An 18,245-nucleotide genomic window follows, 5' to 3' on the forward strand; every position below is an offset into this window, starting at 1 on the left:
AAACCATTCCCCCAATAGCCAACAGCTCAAGTCCTTGGGAAATTGTCTTAGATGAAATCGGTGCCTGGTGCCAAAAAGGTTGGGGACTGCTAGTCTACACCATCAATAAAATTTCTTCAAATCTACAGGTTCAACTGACACTTCCTATGCCCCCAAAAGGGAAACTTGAGTTTCAATACCATGGGCTGACCAGGTGTCTTCCAGCCCGGATGTGTCAGAATTGACTGCCACCAAACATGAGGAGACAGTCATAAATCATAGCACTTTCTCTGGTTTCTCTCAAATCACAGGCTCAACAGTAAACACCAGTATTGGAGGTAATACAACTTCTGCATCCACACCCAGTTCAAGCGACCCTTTTACCACCTTTAGTGACTATGGGGTGTCAGTCACATTTATCACGGGCTCAACTGCAACAAAACACTTCCTTGACAGCTCCACAAACTCAGGCCACAGTGAGGAATCAACAGTATCCCACAGCGGCCCAGGTGCAACTGGAACAACACTCTTCCCTTCCCACTCTGCAACCTCAGTTTTTGTTGGAGAACCTAAAACCTCACCCATCACTTCAGCCTCAATGGAAACAACAGCGTTACCTGGCAGTACCACAACAGCAGGCCTGAGTGAGAAATCTACCACCTTCTACAGTAGCCCCAGATCACCAGACAGAACACTCTCACCTGCCCGCACGACAAGCTCAGGCGTCAGTGAAAAATCAACCACCTCCCACAGCCGACCAGGCCCAACGCACACAATAGCGTTCCCTGACAGTACCACCATGCCAGGCGTCAGTCAGGAATCTACAGCTTCCCACAGCATCCCCGGCTCCACAGACACAACACTGTCCCCTGGCACTACCACACCATCATCCCTTGGTCCAGAATCTACTACCTTCCACAGCAGCCCAGGCTACACTAAAACAACACGCTTACCTGACAACACCACAACCTCAGGCCTCCTTGAAGCATCTACGCCCGTCCACAGCAGCACTGGATCGCCACACACAACACTGTCCCCTTCCAGCTCTACAACCCATGAGGGAGAACCTACCACCTTCCAGAGCTGGCCAAGCTCAAAGGACACTTCGCCTGCACCTTCTGGTACCACATCAGCCTTTGTTAAACTATCTACAACTTATCACAGCAGCCCGAGCTCAACTCCAACAACCCACTTTTCTGCCAGCTCCACAACCTTGGGCCATAGTGAGGAATCGACACCAGTCCACAGCAGCCCAGTTGCAACTGCAACAACACCCCCACCTGCCCGCTCCGCGACCTCAGGCCATGTTGAAGAATCTACAGCCTACCACAGGAGCCCGGGCTCAACTCAAACAATGCACTTCCCTGAAAGCTCCACAACTTCAGGCCATAGTGAAGAATCAGCAACTTTCCACGGCAGCACAACACACACAAAATCTTCAACTCCTAGCACCACAGCTGCCCTAGCACATACAAGCTACCACAGCAGCCTGGGCTCAACTGAAACAACACACTTCCGTGATAGCTCCACAATCTCAGGCCGTAGTGAGGAATCAAAAGCATCCCACAGCAGCCCAGATGCAATGGCAACAACAGTCTTACCTGCCGGCTCTACACCCTCAGTTCTTGTTGGAGACTCGACGCCCTCACCCATCAGTTCAGGCTCAATGGAAACCACAGCGTTACCCGGCAGTACCACAAAACCAGGCCTCAGTGAGAAATCTACCACTTTCTACAGTAGCCCCAGATCACCAGACACAACACACTTACCTGCCAGCATGACAAGCTCAGGCGTCAGTGAAGAATCCACCACCTCCCACAGCCGACCAGGCTCAACACACACAACAGCATTCCCTGGCAGTACCACCATGCCAGGCCTCAGTCAGGAATCTACAGCTTCCCACAGCAGCCCAGGCCCCACAGACACAACATTGTCCCCTGGCAGTACCACAGCATCATCCCTTGGTCCAGAATATACTACCTTCCACAGCCGCCCAGGCTCCACTGAAACAACACTCTTACCTGACAACACCACAGCCTCAGGACTCCTTGAAGCATCTATGCCCGTCCACAGCAGCACCAGATCGCCACACACAACACTGTCCCCTGCCGGCTCTACAACCCGTCAGGGAGAATCTACCACATTCCATAGCTGGCCAAGCTCAAAGGACACTAGGCCTGCACCTCCTACTACCACATCAGCCTTTGTTGAGCCATCTACAACCTCCCACGGCAGCCCGAGCTCAATTCCAACAACCCACATTTCTGCCCGCTCCACAACCTCAGGCCTCGTTGAAGAATCTACGACCTACCACAGCAGCCCGGGCTCAACTCAAACAATGCACTTCCCTGAAAGCGACACAACTTCAGGCCGTGGTGAAGAATCAACAACTTCCCACAGCAGCACAACACACACAATATCTTCAGCTCCTAGCACCACATCTGCCCTTGTTGAAGAACCTACCAGCTACCACAGCAGCCCGGGCTCAACTGCAACAACACACTTCCCTGACAGCTCCACAACCTCAGGCCGTAGTGAGGAATCAACAGCATCGCACAGCAGCCAAGACGCAACGGGAACAATAGTCCTACCTGCCCGCTCCACAACCTCAGTTCTTCTTGGAGAATCTACGACCTCACCCATCAGTTCAGGCTCAATGGAAACGACAGCGTTACCCGGCAGTACCACAACGCCAGGCCTCAGTGAGAGATCTACCACTTTCCATAGTAGCCCCAGATCACCAGCCACAACACTCTCACCTGCCAGCACGACAAGCTCAGGCGTCAGTGAAGAATCCACCACCTCCCGCAGCCGACCAGGCTCAACGCACACAACAGCATTCCCTGACAGCACCACCACGCCAGGCCTCAGTCGGCATTCTACAACTTCCCACAGCAGCCCAGGCTCAACGGATACAACACTGTTACCTGCCAGCACCACCACCTCAGGCCCCAGTCAGGAATCAACAACTTCCCACAGCAGCTCAGGTTCAACTGACACAGCACTGTCCCCTGGCAGTACCACAGCCTTATCCTTTGGTCAAGAATCTACAACCTTCCACAGCAACCCAGGCTCCACTCACACAACACTCTTCCCTGACAGCACCACAAGCTCAGGCATCGTTGAAGCATCTACACGCGTCCACAGCAGCACTGGCTCACCACGCACAACACTGTCCCCTGCCAGCTCCACAAGCCCTGGACTTCAGGGAGAATCTACTGCCTTCCAGACCCACCCAGCCTCAACTCACACAACGCCTTCACCTCCTAGCACCGCAACAGCCCCTGTTGAAGAATCTACAACCTACCACCGCAGCCCAGGCTCGACTCCAACAACACACTTCCCTGCCAGCTCCACAACTTCGGGCCACAGTGAGAAATCAACAATATTCCACAGCAGCCCAGATGCAAGTGGAACAACACCCTCATCTGCCCACTCCACAACCTCAGGTCGTGGAGAATCTACAACCTCACGCATCAGTCCAGGCTCAACTGAAATAACAACGTTACCTGGCAGTACCACAACACCAGGCCTCAGTGAGGCATCTACCACCTTCTACAGCAGCCCCAGATCACCAACCACAACACTCTCACCTGCCAGCATGACAAGCCTGGGCGTCGGTGAAGAATCCACCACCTCCCGTAGCCAACCAGGTTCTACTCACTCAACAGTGTCACCTGCCAGCACCACCACGCCAGGCCTCAGTGAGGAATCTACCACCGTCTACAGCAGCAGCCGAGGCTCAACTGAAACCACAGTGTTCCCTCACAGCACCACAACCTCAGTTCATGGTGAAGAGCCTACAACCTTCCACAGCCGGCCAGCCTCAACTCACACAACACTGTTCACTGAGGACAGCACCACCTCGGGCCTCACTGAAGAATCTACAGCCTTCCCCGGCAGCCCAGCCTCCACCCAAACAGGGTTACCTGCCACACTCACAACCGCAGACCTCGGTGAGGAATCAACTACCTTTCCCAGCAGCTCAGGCTCAACTGGAACAAAACTCTCACCTGCCCGCTCCACCACCTCTGGCCTCGTTGGAGAATCCACACCCTCACGCCTCAGTCCAAGCTCAACCGAAACAACAACTTTACCTGGCAGTCCCACAACACCAAGCCTCAGTGAGAAATCAACCACCTTCTACACTAGCCCCAGATCACCAGATGCAACACTCTCACCTGCAACCACAACAAGCTCAGGCGTCAGCGAAGAATCCAGCACATCCCACAGTCAACCAGGCTCAACGCACACAACAGCATTCCCTGACAGCACCACCACCTCAGACCTCAGTCAGGAACCTACAACTTCCCACAGCAGCCAAGGCTCAACAGAGGCAACACTGTCCCCTGGCAGTACCACAGCCTCATCCCTTGGTCAACAATCTACAACCTTCCACAGCAGCCCAGGCGACACTGAAACCACACTCTTACCTGACGACACCATAACCTCAGGCCTCGTGGAGGCATCTACACCCACCCACAGCAGCACTGGCTCGCTACACACAACACTGACCCCTGCCAGCTCCACAAGCGCTGGCCTTCAGGAAGAATCTACCACTTTCCAGAGCTGGCCAAGCTCAAGTGACACAACACCTTCACCTCCCGGCACCACAGCAGCCCCTGTTGAAGTATCCACAACCTACCACAGCCGCCCGAGCTCAACTCCAACAACACACTTTTCTGCCAGTTCCACAACCTTGGGCCGTAGTGAGGAATCAACAACAGTCCACAGCAGCCCAGGTGCAACTGGAACAGCACTCTTCCCTACCCGCTCTGCAACCTCAGTTCTTGTTGGAGAACCTACAACGTCACCCATCAGTTCAGGCTCAACGGAAACAACAGCGTTACCTGGCAGTACCACAACAGCAGGCCTGAGTGAGAAATCTACCACCTTCTACAGTAGCCCCAGATCACCGGACACAACACTCTCACCTGCCAGCACGACAAGCTCAGGCGTCAGTGAAGAATCCACCACCTCCCACAGCCGACCAGGCTCAACGCACACAACAGCATTCCCTGGCAGTACCACCATGCCAGGCGTCAGTCAGGAATCTACAGCTTCCCACAGCAGCCCAGGCTCCACAGACACAACATTGTCCCCTGGCAGTACCACAGCATCATCCCTTGGTCCAGAATCTACTACTTTCCACAGCAGCCCAGGCTCCACTGAAACAACACTCTTACCTGACAACACCACAGCCTCAGGCCTCCTTGAAGCATCTACGCCCGTCCACAGCAGCACTGGATCGCCACACACAACACTGTCCCCTGCCGGCTCTACAACACGTCAGGGAGAATCTACCACCTTCCAGAGCTGGCCAAGCTCAAAGGACACTATGCCTGCACCTCCTACTACCACATCAGCCTTTGTTGAGCTATCTACAACCTCCCACGGCAGCCCGAGCTCAACTCCAACAACCCACTTTTCTGCCAGCTCCACAACCTTGGGCCGTAGTGAGGAATCGACAACAGTCCACAGCAGCCCAGTTGCAACTGCAACAACACCCTCGCCTGCCCGCTCCACAACCTCAGGCCTCGTTGAAGAATCTACGGCGTACCACAGCAGCCCGGGCTCAACTCAAACAATGCACTTCCCTGAAAGCTCCACAGCTTCAGGTCGTAGTGAAGAATCAAGAACTTCCCACAGCAGCACAACACACACAATATCTTCACCTCCTAGCACCACATCTGCCCTTGTTGAAGAACCTACCAGCTACCACAGCAGCCCGGGCTCAACTGCAACAACACACTTCCCTGACAGCTCCACAACCTCAGGCCGTAGTGAGGAATCAACAGCATCCCACAGCAGCCAAGACGCAACGGGAACAATAGTCCTACCTGCCCGCTCCACAACCTCAGTTCTTCTTGGAGAATCTACGACCTCACCCATCAGTTCAGGCTCAATGGAAACGACAGCGTTACCCGGCAGTACCACAACGCCAGGCCTCAGTGAGAAATCTACCACTTTCCACAGTAGCCCCAGATCACCAGCCACAACACTCTCACCTGCCAGCACGACAAGCTCAGGCGTCAGTGAAGAATCCACCACCTCCCACAGCCGACCAGGCTCAACGCACACAACAGCATTCCCTGACAGCACCACCACGCCAGGCCTCAGTCGGCATTCTACAACTTCCCACAGCAGCCCAGGCTCAACGGATACAACACTGTTACCTGCCAGCACCACCACCTCAGGCCCCAGTCAGGAATCAACAACTTCCCACAGCAGCCCAGGTTCAACTGACACAGCACTGTCCCCTGGCAGTACCACAGCCTTATCCTTTGGTCAAGAATCTACAACCTTCCACAGCAGCCCAGGCTCCACTCACACAACGCTCTTCCCTGACAGCACCACAAGCTCAGGCATCGTTGAAGCATCTACACGCGTCCACAGCAGCACTGGCTCACCACGCACAACACTGTCCCCTGCCAGCTCCACAAGCCCTGGACTTCAGGGAGAATCTACCGCCTTCCAGACCCACCCAGCCTCAACTCACACGACGCCTTCACCTCCTAGCACCGCAACAGCCCCTGTTGAAGAATCTACAACCTACCACCGCAGCCCAGGCTCGACTCCAACAACACACTTCCCTGCCAGCTCCACAACTTCGGGCCACAGTGAGAAATCAACAATATTCCACAGCAGCCCAGATGCAAGTGGAACAACACCCTCATCTGCCCACTCCACAACCTCAGGTCGTGGAGAATCTACAACCTCACGCATCAGTCCAGGCTCAACTGAAATAACAACGTTACCTGGCAGTACCACAACACCAGGCCTCAGTGAGGCATCTACCACCTTCTACAGCAGCCCCAGATCACCAACCACAACACTCTCACCTGCCAGTATGACAAGCCTAGGCGTCGGTGAAGAATCCACCACCTCCCGTAGCCAACCAGGTTCTACTCACTCAACAGTGTCACCTGCCAGCACCACCACGCCAGGCCTCAGTGAGGAATCTACCACCGTCTACAGCAGCAGCCCAGGCTCAACTGAAACCACAGTGTTCCCTCGCACCCCCACAACCTCAGTTCGTGGTGAAGAGCCTACAACCTTCCACAGCCGGCCAGCCTCAACTCACACAACACTGTTCACTGAGGACAGCACCACCTCGGGCCTCACTGAAGAATCTACAGCCTTCCCCGGCAGCCCAGCCTCCACCCAAACAGGGTTACCTGCCACACTCACAACCGCAGACCTCGGTGAGGAATCAACTACCTTTCCCAGCAGCTCAGGCTCAACTGGAACAACACTCTCACCTGCCCGCTCCACCACCTCTGGCCTCGTTGGAGAATCCACACCCTCACGCCTCAGTCCAAGCTCAACCGAAACAACAACTTTACCCGGCAGTCCCACAACACCAAGCCTCAGTGAGAAATCAACCACCTTCTACACTAGCCCCAGATCACCAGATGCAACACTCTCACCTGCAACCACAACAAGCTCAGGCGTCAGTGAAGAATCCAGCACATCCCACAGTCAACCAGGCTCAACGCACACAACAGCATTCCCTGACAGCACCACCACGCCAGGCCTCAGTCGGCATTCTACAACTTCCCACAGCAGCCCAGGCTCAACGGATACAACACTGTTACCTGCCAGCACCACCACCTCAGGCCCCAGTCAGGAATCAACAACTTCCCACAGCAGCCCAGGTTCAACTGACACAGCACTGTCCCCTGGCAGTACCACAGCCTTATCCTTTGGTCAAGAATCTACAACCTTCCACAGCAGCCCAGGCTCCACTCACACAACACTCTTCCCTGACAGCACCACAAGCTCAGGCATCGTTGAAGCATCTACACGCGTCCACAGCAGCACTGGCTCACCACGCACAACACTGTCCCCTGCCAGCTCCACAAGCCCTGGACTTCAGGGAGAATCTACCACCTTCCAGACCCACCCAGCCTCAACTCACACGACGCCTTCACCTCCTAGCACCGCAACAGCCCCTGTTGAAGAATCTACAACCTACCACCGCAGCCCAGGCTCGACTCCAACAACACACTTCCCTGCCAGCTCCACAACTTCGGGCCACAGTGAGAAATCAACAATATTCCACAGCAGCCCAGATGCAAGTGGAACAACACCCTCATCTGCCCACTCCACAACCTCAGGTCGTGGAGAATCTACAACCTCACGCATCAGTCCAGGCTCAACTGAAATAACAACGTTACCTGGCAGTACCACAACACCAGGCCTCAGTGAGGCATCTACCACCTTCTACAGCAGCCCCAGATCACCAACCACAACACTCTCACCTGCCAGTATGACAAGCCTAGGCGTCGGTGAAGAATCCACCACCTCCCGTAGCCAACCAGGTTCTACTCACTCAACAGTGTCACCTGCCAGCACCACCACGCCAGGCCTCAGTGAGGAATCTACCACCGTCTACAGCAGCAGCCCAGGCTCAACTGAAACCACAGTGTTCCCTCGCAGCACCACAACCTCAGTTCGTGGTGAAGAGCCTACAACCTTCCACAGCCGGCCAGCCTCAACTCACACAACACTGTTCACTGAGGACAGCACCACCTCGGGCCTCACTGAAGAATCTACAGCCTTCCCCGGCAGCCCAGCCTCCACCCAAACAGGGTTACCTGCCACACTCACAACCGCAGACCTCGGTGAGGAATCAACTACCTTTCCCAGCAGCTCAGGCTCAACTGGAACAACACTCTCACCTGCCCGCTCCACCACCTCTGGCCTCGTTGGAGAATCCACACCCTCACGCCTCAGTCCAAGCTCAACCGAAACAACAACTTTACCCGGCAGTCCCACAACACCAAGCCTCAGTGAGAAATCAACCACCTTCTACACTAGCCCCAGATCACCAGATGCAACACTCTCACCTGCAACCACAACAAGCTCAGGCGTCAGTGAAGAATCCAGCACATCCCACAGTCAACCAGGCTCAACGCACACAACAGCGTTCCCTGACAGCACCACCACCTCAGGCCTCAGTCAGGAACCTACAGCTTCCCACAGCAGCCAAGGCTCAACAGAGGCAACACTGTCCCCTGGCAGTACCACAGCCTCATCCCTTGGTCAACAATCTACAACCTTCCACAGCAGCCCAGGCGACACTGAAACCACACTCTTACCTGACGACACCATAACCTCAGGCCTCGTGGAGGCATCTACACCCACCCACAGCAGCACTGGCTCGCTACACACAACACTGACCCCTGCCAGCTCCACAAGCGCTGGCCTTCAGGAAGAATCTACCACTTTCCAGAGCTGGCCAAGCTCAAGTGACACAACACCTTCACCTCCCGGCACCACAGCAGCCCCTGTTGAAGTATCCACAACCTACCACAGCCGCCCGAGCTCAACTCCAACAACACACTTTTCTGCCAGTTCCACAACCTTGGGCCGTAGTGAGGAATCAACAACAGTCCACAGCAGCCCAGGTGCAACTGGAACAGCACTCTTCCCTACCCGCTCTGCAACCTCAGTTCTTGTTGGAGAACCTACAACGTCACCCATCAGTTCAGGCTCAACGGAAACAACAGCGTTACCTGGCAGTACCACAACAGCAGGCCTGAGTGAGAAATCTACCACCTTCTACAGTAGCCCCAGATCACCGGACACAACACTCTCACCTGCCAGCACGACAAGCTCAGGCGTCAGTGAAGAATCCACCACCTCCCACAGCCGACCAGGCTCAACGCACACAACAGCATTCCCTGGCAGTACCACCATGCCAGGCGTCAGTCAGGAATCTACAGCTTCCCACAGCAGCCCAGGCTCCACAGACACAACACTGTCCCCTGGCAGTACCACAGCATCATCCCTTGGTCCAGAATCTACTACCTTCCACAGCGGCCCAGGCTCCACTGAAACAACACTCTTACCTGACAACACCACAGCCTCAGGCCTCCTTGAAGCATCTACGCCCGTCCACAGCAGCACTGGATCGCCACACACAACACTGTCCCCTGCCGGCTCTACAACCCGTCAGGGAGAATCTACCACCTTCCAGAGCTGGCCTAACTCGAAGGACACTACCCCTGCACCTCCTACTACCACATCAGCCTTTGTTGAGCTATCTACAACCTCCCACGGCAGCCCGAGCTCAACTCCAACAACCCACTTTTCTGCCAGCTCCACAACCTTGGGCCGTAGTGAGGAATCGACAACAGTCCACAGCAGCCCAGTTGCAACTGCAACAACACCCTCGCCTGCCCGCTCCACAACCTCAGGCCTCGTTGAAGAATCTACGACCTACCACAGCAGCCCGGGCTCAACTCAAACAATGCACTTCCCTGAAAGCGACACAACTTCAGGCCGTGGTGAAGAATCAACAACTTCCCACAGCAGCACAACACACACAATATCTTCAGCTCCTAGCACCACATCTGCCCTTGTTGAAGAACCTACCAGCTACCACAGCAGCCCGGGCTCAACTGCAACAACACACTTCCCTGACAGCTCCACAACCTCAGGCCGTAGTGAGGAATCAACAGCATCCCACAGCAGCCAAGACGCAACGGGAACAATAGTCCTACCTGCCCGCTCCACAACCTCAGTTCTTCTTGGAGAATCTACGACCTCACCCATCAGTTCAGGCTCAATGGAAACGACAGCGTTACCCGGCAGTACCACAACGCCAGGCCTCAGTGAGAAATCTACCACTTTCCACAGTAGCCCCAGATCACCAGCCACAACACTCTCACCTGCCAGCACGACAAGCTCAGGCGTCAGTGAAGAATCCACCACCTCCCACAGCCGACCAGGCTCAACGCACACAACAGCATTCCCTGACAGCACCACCACGCCAGGCCTCAGTCGGCATTCTACAACTTCCCACAGCAGCCCAGGCTCAACGGATACAACACTGTTACCTGCCAGCACCACCACCTCAGGCTCCAGTCAGGAATCAACAACTTCCCACAGCAGCTCAGGTTCAACTGACACAGCACTGTCCCCTGGCAGTACCACAGCCTTATCCTTTGGTCAAGAATCTACAACCTTCCACAGCAGCCCAGGCTCCACTCACACAACACTCTTCCCTGACAGCACCACAAGCTCAGGCATCGTTGAAGCATCTACACGCGTCCACAGCAGCACTGGCTCACCACGCACAACACTGTCCCCTGCCAGCTCCACAAGCCCTGGACTTCAGGGAGAATCTACCGCCTTCCAGACCCACCCAGCCTCAACTCACACGACGCCTTCACCTCCTAGCACCGCAACAGCCCCTGTTGAAGAATCTACAACCTACCACCGCAGCCCAGGCTCGACTCCAACAACACACTTCCCTGCCAGCTCCACAACTTCGGGCCACAGTGAGAAATCAACAATATTCCACAGCAGCCCAGATGCAAGTGGAACAACACCCTCATCTGCCCACTCCACAACCTCAGGTCGTGGAGAATCTACAACCTCACGCATCAGTCCAGGCTCAACTGAAATAACAACGTTACCTGGCAGTACCACAACACCAGGCCTCAGTGAGGCATCTACCACCTTCTACAGCAGCCCCAGATCACCAACCACAACACTCTCACCTGCCAGTATGACAAGCCTAGGCGTCGGTGAAGAATCCACCACCTCCCGTAGCCAACCAGGTTCTACTCACTCAACAGTGTCACCTGCCAGCACCACCACGCCAGGCCTCAGTGAGGAATCTACCACCGTCTACAGCAGCAGCCCAGGCTCAACTGAAACCACAGTGTTCCCTCGCAGCACCACAACCTCAGTTCGTCGTGAAGAGCCTACAACCTTCCACAGCCGGCCAGCCTCAACTCACACAACACTGTTCACTGAGGACAGCACCACCTCGGGCCTCACTGAAGAATCTACAGCCTTCCCCGGCAGCCCAGCCTCCACCCAAACAGGGTTACCTGCCACACTCACAACCGCAGACCTCGGTGAGGAATCAACTACCTTTCCCAGCAGCTCAGGCTCAACTGGAACAAAACTCTCACCTGCCCGCTCCACCACCTCTGGCCTCGTTGGAGAATCCACACCCTCACGCCTCAGTCCAAGCTCAACCGAAACAACAACTTTACCCGGCAGTCCCACAACACCAAGCCTCAGTGAGAAATCAACCACCTTCTACACTAGCCCCAGATCACCAGATGCAACACTCTCACCTGCAACCACAACAAGCTCAGGCGTCAGCGAAGAATCCAGCACATCCCACAGTCAACCAGGCTCAACGCACACAACAGCGTTCCCTGACAGCACCACCACCTCAGGCCTCAGTCAGGAACCTACAACTTCCCACAGCAGCCAAGGCTCAACAGAGGCAACACTGTCCCCTGGCAGTACCACAGCCTCATCCCTTGGTCAACAATCTACAACCTTCCACAGCAGCCCAGGCGACACTGAAACCACACTCTTACCTGACGACACCATAACCTCAGGCCTCGTGGAGGCATCTACACCCACCCACAGCAGCACTGGCTCGCTACACACAACACTGACCCCTGCCAGCTCCACAAGCACTGGCCTTCAGGAAGAATCTACCACTTTCCAGAGCTGGCCAAGCTCAAGTGACACAACACCTTCACCTCCCAGCACCACAGCAGTCCCTGTTGAAGTATCCACAACCTACCACAGCCGCCCGAGCTCAACTCCAACAACACACTTTTCTGCCAGTTCCACAACCTTGGGCCGTAGTGAGGAATCAACAACAGTCCACAGCAGCCCAGGTGCAACTGGAACAGCACTCTTCCCTACCCGCTCTGCAACCTCAGTTCTTGTTGGAGAACCTACAACGTCACCCATCAGTTCAGGCTCAACGGAAACAACAGCGTTACCTGGCAGTACCACAACAGCAGGCCTGAGTGAGAAATCTACCACCTTCTACAGTAGCCCCAGATCACCGGACACAACACTTTCACCTGCCAGCACGACAAGCTCAGGCGTCAGTGAAGAATCCACCACCTCCCACAGCCGACCAGGCTCAATGCACACAACAGCATTCCCTAGCAGTACCACCATGCCAGGCGTCAGTCAGGAATCTACAGCTTCCCACAGCAGCCCAGGCTCCACAGACACAACACTGTCCCCTGGCAGTACCACAGCATCATCCCTTGGTCCAGAATCTACTACCTTCCACAGCAGCCCAGGCTCCACTGAAACAACACTCTTACCTGACAACACCACAGCCTCAGGCCTCCTTGAAGCATCTACACCCGTCCACAGCAGCACTGGATCGCCACACACAACACTGTCCCCTGCCGGCTCTACAACCCGTCAGGGAGAATCTACCACCTTCCAGAGCTGGCCAAACTCGAAGGACACTACCCCTGCACCTCCTACTACCACATCAGCCTTTGTTGAGCTATCTACAACCTCCCACGGCAGCCCGAGCTCAACTCCAACAACCCACTTTTCTGCCAGCTCCACAACATTGGGCCGTAGTGAGGAATCGACAACAGTCCACAGCAGCCCAGTTGCAACTGCAACAACACCCTCGCCTGCCCGCTCCACAACCTCAGGCCTCGTTGAAGAATCTACGACCTACCACAGCAGCCCGGGCTCAACTCAAACAATGCACTTCCCTGAAAGCAACACAACTTCAGGCCGTGGTGAAGAATCAACAACTTCCCACAGCAGCACAACACACACAATATCTTCAGCTCCTAGCACCACATCTGCCCTTGTTGAAGAACCTACCAGCTACCACAGCAGCCCGGGCTCAACTGCAACAACACACTTCCCTGACAGCTCCACAACCTCAGGCCGTAGTGAGGAATCAACAGCATCCCACAGCAGCCAAGACGCAACGGGAACAATAGTCCTACCTGCCCGCTCCACAACCTCAGTTCTTCTTGGAGAATCTACGACCTCACCCATCAGTTCAGGCTCAATGGAAACGACAGCGTTACCCGGCAGTACCACAACGCCAGGCCTCAGTGAGAAATCTACCACTTTCCACAGTAGCCCGAGCTCAACTCCAACAACCCACTTTTCTGCCAGCTCCACAACCTTGGGCCGTAGTGAGGAATCGACAACAGTCCACAGCAGCCCAGTTGCAACTGCAACAACACCCTCGCCTGCCCGCTCCACAACCTCAGGCCTCGTTGAAGAATCTACGGCGTACCACAGCAGCCCGGGCTCAACTCAAACAATGCACTTCCCTGAAAGCTCCACAGCTTCAGGTCGTAGTGAAGAATCAAGAACTTCCCACAGCAGCACAACACACACAATATCTTCACCTCCTAGCACCACATCTGCCCTTGTTGAAGAACCTACCAGCTACCACAGCAGCCCGGGCTCAATTGCAACAACACACTTTCCTGAGAGCTCCACAACCTCCGGCCGTAGTGAGGAATCAACAGCATCCCACAGCAGCCCAGATACAAATGGAATCACACCCTTACCTGCCCATTTTACTACCTCAGGCCGCATTGCAGAATCTACCACCTTCTATATCTCTCCAGGCTCAATGGAAACAACATTAGCCAGCACTGCCACAACACCAGGCCTCAGTGCAAAATCTACCATCCTTTACAGTAGCTCCAGATCACCAGACCAAACACTCTCACCTGCCAGCATGACAAGCTCCAGCATCAGTGGAGAACCCACCAGCTTGTATAGCCAAGCAGAGTCAACACACACAACAGCGTTCCCTGCCAGCACCACCACCTCAGGCCTCAGTCAGGAATCAACAACTTTCCACAGTAAGCCAGGCTCAACTGAGACAACACTGTCCCCTGGCAGCATCACAACTTCATCTTTTGCTCAAGAATTTACCACCCCTCATAGCCAACCAGGCTCAGCTCTGTCAACAGTGTCACCTGCCAGCACCACAGTGCCAGGCCTTAGTGAGGAATCTACCACCTTCTACAGCAGCCCAGGCTCAACTGAAACCACAGCGTTTTCTCACAGCAACACAATGTCCATTCATAGTCAACAATCTACACCCTTCCCTGACAGCCCAGGCTTCACTCACACAGTGTTACCTGCCACCCTCACAACCACAGACATTGGTCAGGAATCAACAGCCTTCCACAGCAGCTCAGACGCAACTGGAACAACACCCTTACCTGCCCGCTCCACAGCCTCAGACCTTGTTGGAGAACCTACAACTTTCTACATCAGCCCATCCCCTACTTACACAACACTCTTTCCTGCGAGTTCCAGCACATCAGGCCTCACTGAGGAATCTACCACCTTCCACACCAGTCCAAGCTTCACTTCTACAATTGTGTCTACTGAAAGCCTGGAAACCTTAGCACCAGGTACTGCTCTTTCCATTTCATCCACGTTTAGCTTCTTCTCCAGGCCTGTCCATGAGTCTTCTTCATCCATTACAACCTCTCTTGGTTCTTTTCCTCTGTCTTCCACTTTACTTGGGTCTACCGATTATCCAGTTTCTGGGTTCGATACCACTTCCAGTGTTCATGTGCCGTTCACTGGTCCCCACACATGTATGATGACAATCTCTCCTTCCTCTATGACTCCAGGGTGGTTTTATTTATGTATTTATTTTTCATCCTTCCATGAACCCCTCTTCTCTGGATTTTTTTTTTTTTTTGAGACAGAGTGTTGCTCTGTTGCCCAGGCTGGGGTGCAATGACATGATCTTGGTTCACTGCAACCTCTGCCTCCTGGGCTCAAGCGATTCTCCTACCTTGTCCTCCCAAGTGGCTTGGATTACAGGTGCCCACCACCATGCCTACCTAATTTTTGTATTTTTAGTAGAGACGGGTTTTTACCATGTTGACCAAGCTAGTCTCAAACTCCTGACCTCAAGTGATCCACCCACCTCAGCCTCCCAAAGTGCTGGGATTACAGGTGTGAGCCACCGCGCCGGGCCTCCTTCTGTCTGTCATCATGAGAATCCGCATCTGCTCTGGCCTCCTGTGGTTTTGTTTCACATTTCCAACTCTTTCTCCTCCCTGTTCCAGGTGATCCCATGGGTAGAGTTGTCTTCTTTTGGTACATAAGAGTGCTTTTTTCATAGCTGGACCTCTTGTATCTTTTGTTTCCTTACTCTCTGCTGTTCCTCCTCCCTTTCTTACTATCTCCCGGGGGCAGAGGTGGCAGCAGAGGCATCTTCATTGCTGTGCGGTCATCTGGCATCGTCCTGCTCTCCAGTGCGATGCTGAGTGACTGGACCTGGAATGGGAGTGCGTGTTTTTGCTCTTTGGGCTCCCACGGTGACTGCTGTGGATTCTATCTCTCCACAGGGTTGTGCCAGGAAGGACAAATTTGGAATGGAAAACAATGCGTCTGTCCCCAAGGCTACGTTGGTTACCAGTGCTTGTCCCCTCTGGAATCCTTCCCTGTAGGTAATGACCTTTTCTGAGACCTGCAGCTCTTTGCAGGCCCTTTCACCCCTGAAAACAGCATGGCAGTGTTGGAAGGATCAGCCACTGCCTCACTTGCAGGTGGAGGAGGTGTGACTCTTCCCAGCAACACTGTAGGGAGAACATGAACCTTCTACCTTTGCCTTCAGGGACAAAAGTAGAAGGTAGAAAAATGGGGTGGTCGATTTTTTTTAATTTTTAATTTTTAGGGGTACATAGTAGATGTATATATTTATGGAGTATACATGAGATGTTTTGTTACAGGAATGCAATATGTAATAATCACAGCATGGAGAATGGGGTACACATTCCCTCAAGCATTTAACCTTTATGTTACAAACAATCCTACGGTACTATTTTAGTTATTTTATTTTATTTTATTTTTTGAGAGGGAGTCTCGCTCTGTCTCCCAGGCTGGAGTGTGATGGCACGATCTTGGCTCACTGCAACCTCCACCTCCTGGGTTCAGGTGATTCTCCTGCCTCAGCCTCCTGAGTAGTTGAGATTAGAGGCATGGGCCACCATGCCTGGCTAATTTTTGTATTTTTAATAGGGACGGAGTTTCACCATATTGGCCAGGCTGGTATGGAACTACTGATCTTAGGTGATCCTCCTGCCTCGGCCTCCCAAAGTGCTGGGATTACAGGCATGAGCCATCGCGCCCAGCTATTTTAGTTGTTTTTAAATGTTCAATTAAATTATTATTGACTATAGTCACTCTGTCGTGTTAAATACTAGGTCTTATTCATCCTTTCTAACTATACATTTTTTGTACCCATTAACCATGCCCACCTCCCTCTCACCTCCACCCTACTACCCTTCCCAGCCTCTGGTAACCATCCTTCTACGCTCTGCCTCCATTAGTTCAATTATTTGGACTTTTAGATTCCACTAACAAGTGAGAACATGCAATGTTTGTCTTTCTGTGCCTGGCTTATTTCACTTAACAACGACCTCCAGTTCCATCCATGTTGTTGCAATTGACAGGATCTCATTCTTTTTGATGGCTGAATAGTACTCCATTGTGTATATGTACCACATTTTCTCTATCCATTCATCTGTTGATGGACACTTGGGTTGCTTCCAAGTCTTGGCTATTGTGAACAGCAACAAACATGGGAGTGCAGAGATCTCTTCAATGTACTGATTTCCTTTCTTTTGGGTATATACCCAGCAGTGGGATTGCTGGATTGTATGGTAGCTCTATTTTTATTTTTTATTTTTAGAGATGGAGTCTTGCTCTGTTGCCCAGGCTGGAGTGCAGTGGCATGATCTCGGCTTACTGCAAGCTCCACCTCCCAGGTTCATGCCATTCTCCTGCCTCAGCCTCCCAAGTAGCTGGGACTACAGGTGCCCGTCACCATGCCTGGCTATTTTTTTTTTTTTTGTATTTTTAGTAGAGATGGGGTTTCACCGTGTTAGCCAGGATTGTCTTGATCTCCTGACCTCGTGATCCACCCACCTCGGTCTCCCAAAGTGCTGGGATTACAGGTGTGAGCCACCGCGCCCGGCCGGTAGCTCTATTTTTAGTTTTAGGAACCTCCATTTCTTTTGAGATAGGGTCTCACTCTGTGGCCCAGGCTGGAGTGCAGAGGTGCAGATCATAGCTCACCACAGCCTCGAACTCCTGGGCTCAAGTTATCCTCTGGCCTCAGCCTTCCGAGTAGCTGGGACTACAGGCGTGCACTACCATGCCTGGTTAATTTTTTTATTTTCGTGGAGACAGGGTCTCACTTTGTTGCCCAGGTAGGTCTTCCCATCTCCCCAATGCACTGGGATTACAGGTGTGAGCCACAGCACCCGGCCCAGGGCTCTTTCCATTAGCTCACCTGCCCCCCTCATCAAAGGGCTTCTGTACTTAGTTCTGTCCCTTTCCCTCCTGGCCACTGGCTCCTCAGGGTTTTGGGAGACAGGGAACAGTGACCCCACCTTCCTCTTAAGTTTCTTTCACCTTCAAGACACCCACAGGCAGAGAATGTATCAATCCTGGGGGAC

General features: G+C 53.6%; 1 protein-coding gene across 1 annotated transcript in view, besides 2 other annotated features; it reads left to right on the plus strand.

Annotated features, from left to right (window-relative positions):
• MUC12 (mucin 12, cell surface associated) overlaps positions 1-18,245 on the plus strand; it is a 49,372-nt gene that overhangs the window by 20,776 nt on the left and 10,351 nt on the right. Inside the window, exons 2-3 of the mRNA NM_001164462.2 lie at positions 291-15,179; positions 16,131-16,232. Of these exons, the coding sequence (NP_001157934.1) occupies positions 291-15,179; positions 16,131-16,232 (14,991 nt within the window). The remainder of the gene's footprint in view (positions 1-290; positions 15,180-16,130; positions 16,233-18,245) is intronic.
• Positions 6,982-7,835: an enhancer, noted in NCBI's record as "H3K27ac hESC enhancer chr7:100640603-100641456 (GRCh37/hg19 assembly coordinates)". NCBI's record gives its function as "activates a minimal SCP1, AML or CMV promoter by ChIP-STARR-seq in naive H9 embryonic stem cells {active_cell/tissue: H9 hESC(naive)}" and the evidence as "EXISTENCE:reporter gene assay evidence [ECO:0000049][PMID:30033119]".
• Positions 7,836-8,688: an enhancer, noted in NCBI's record as "H3K27ac-H3K4me1 hESC enhancer chr7:100641457-100642309 (GRCh37/hg19 assembly coordinates)". NCBI's record gives its function as "activates a minimal SCP1, AML or CMV promoter by ChIP-STARR-seq in naive H9 embryonic stem cells {active_cell/tissue: H9 hESC(naive)}" and the evidence as "EXISTENCE:reporter gene assay evidence [ECO:0000049][PMID:30033119]".

This window comes from Homo sapiens, chromosome 7 (genome assembly GCF_000001405.40).
Source record: "Homo sapiens chromosome 7, GRCh38.p14 Primary Assembly".
Classification (NCBI taxonomy): Eukaryota; Metazoa; Chordata; class Mammalia; order Primates; family Hominidae; genus Homo; species Homo sapiens.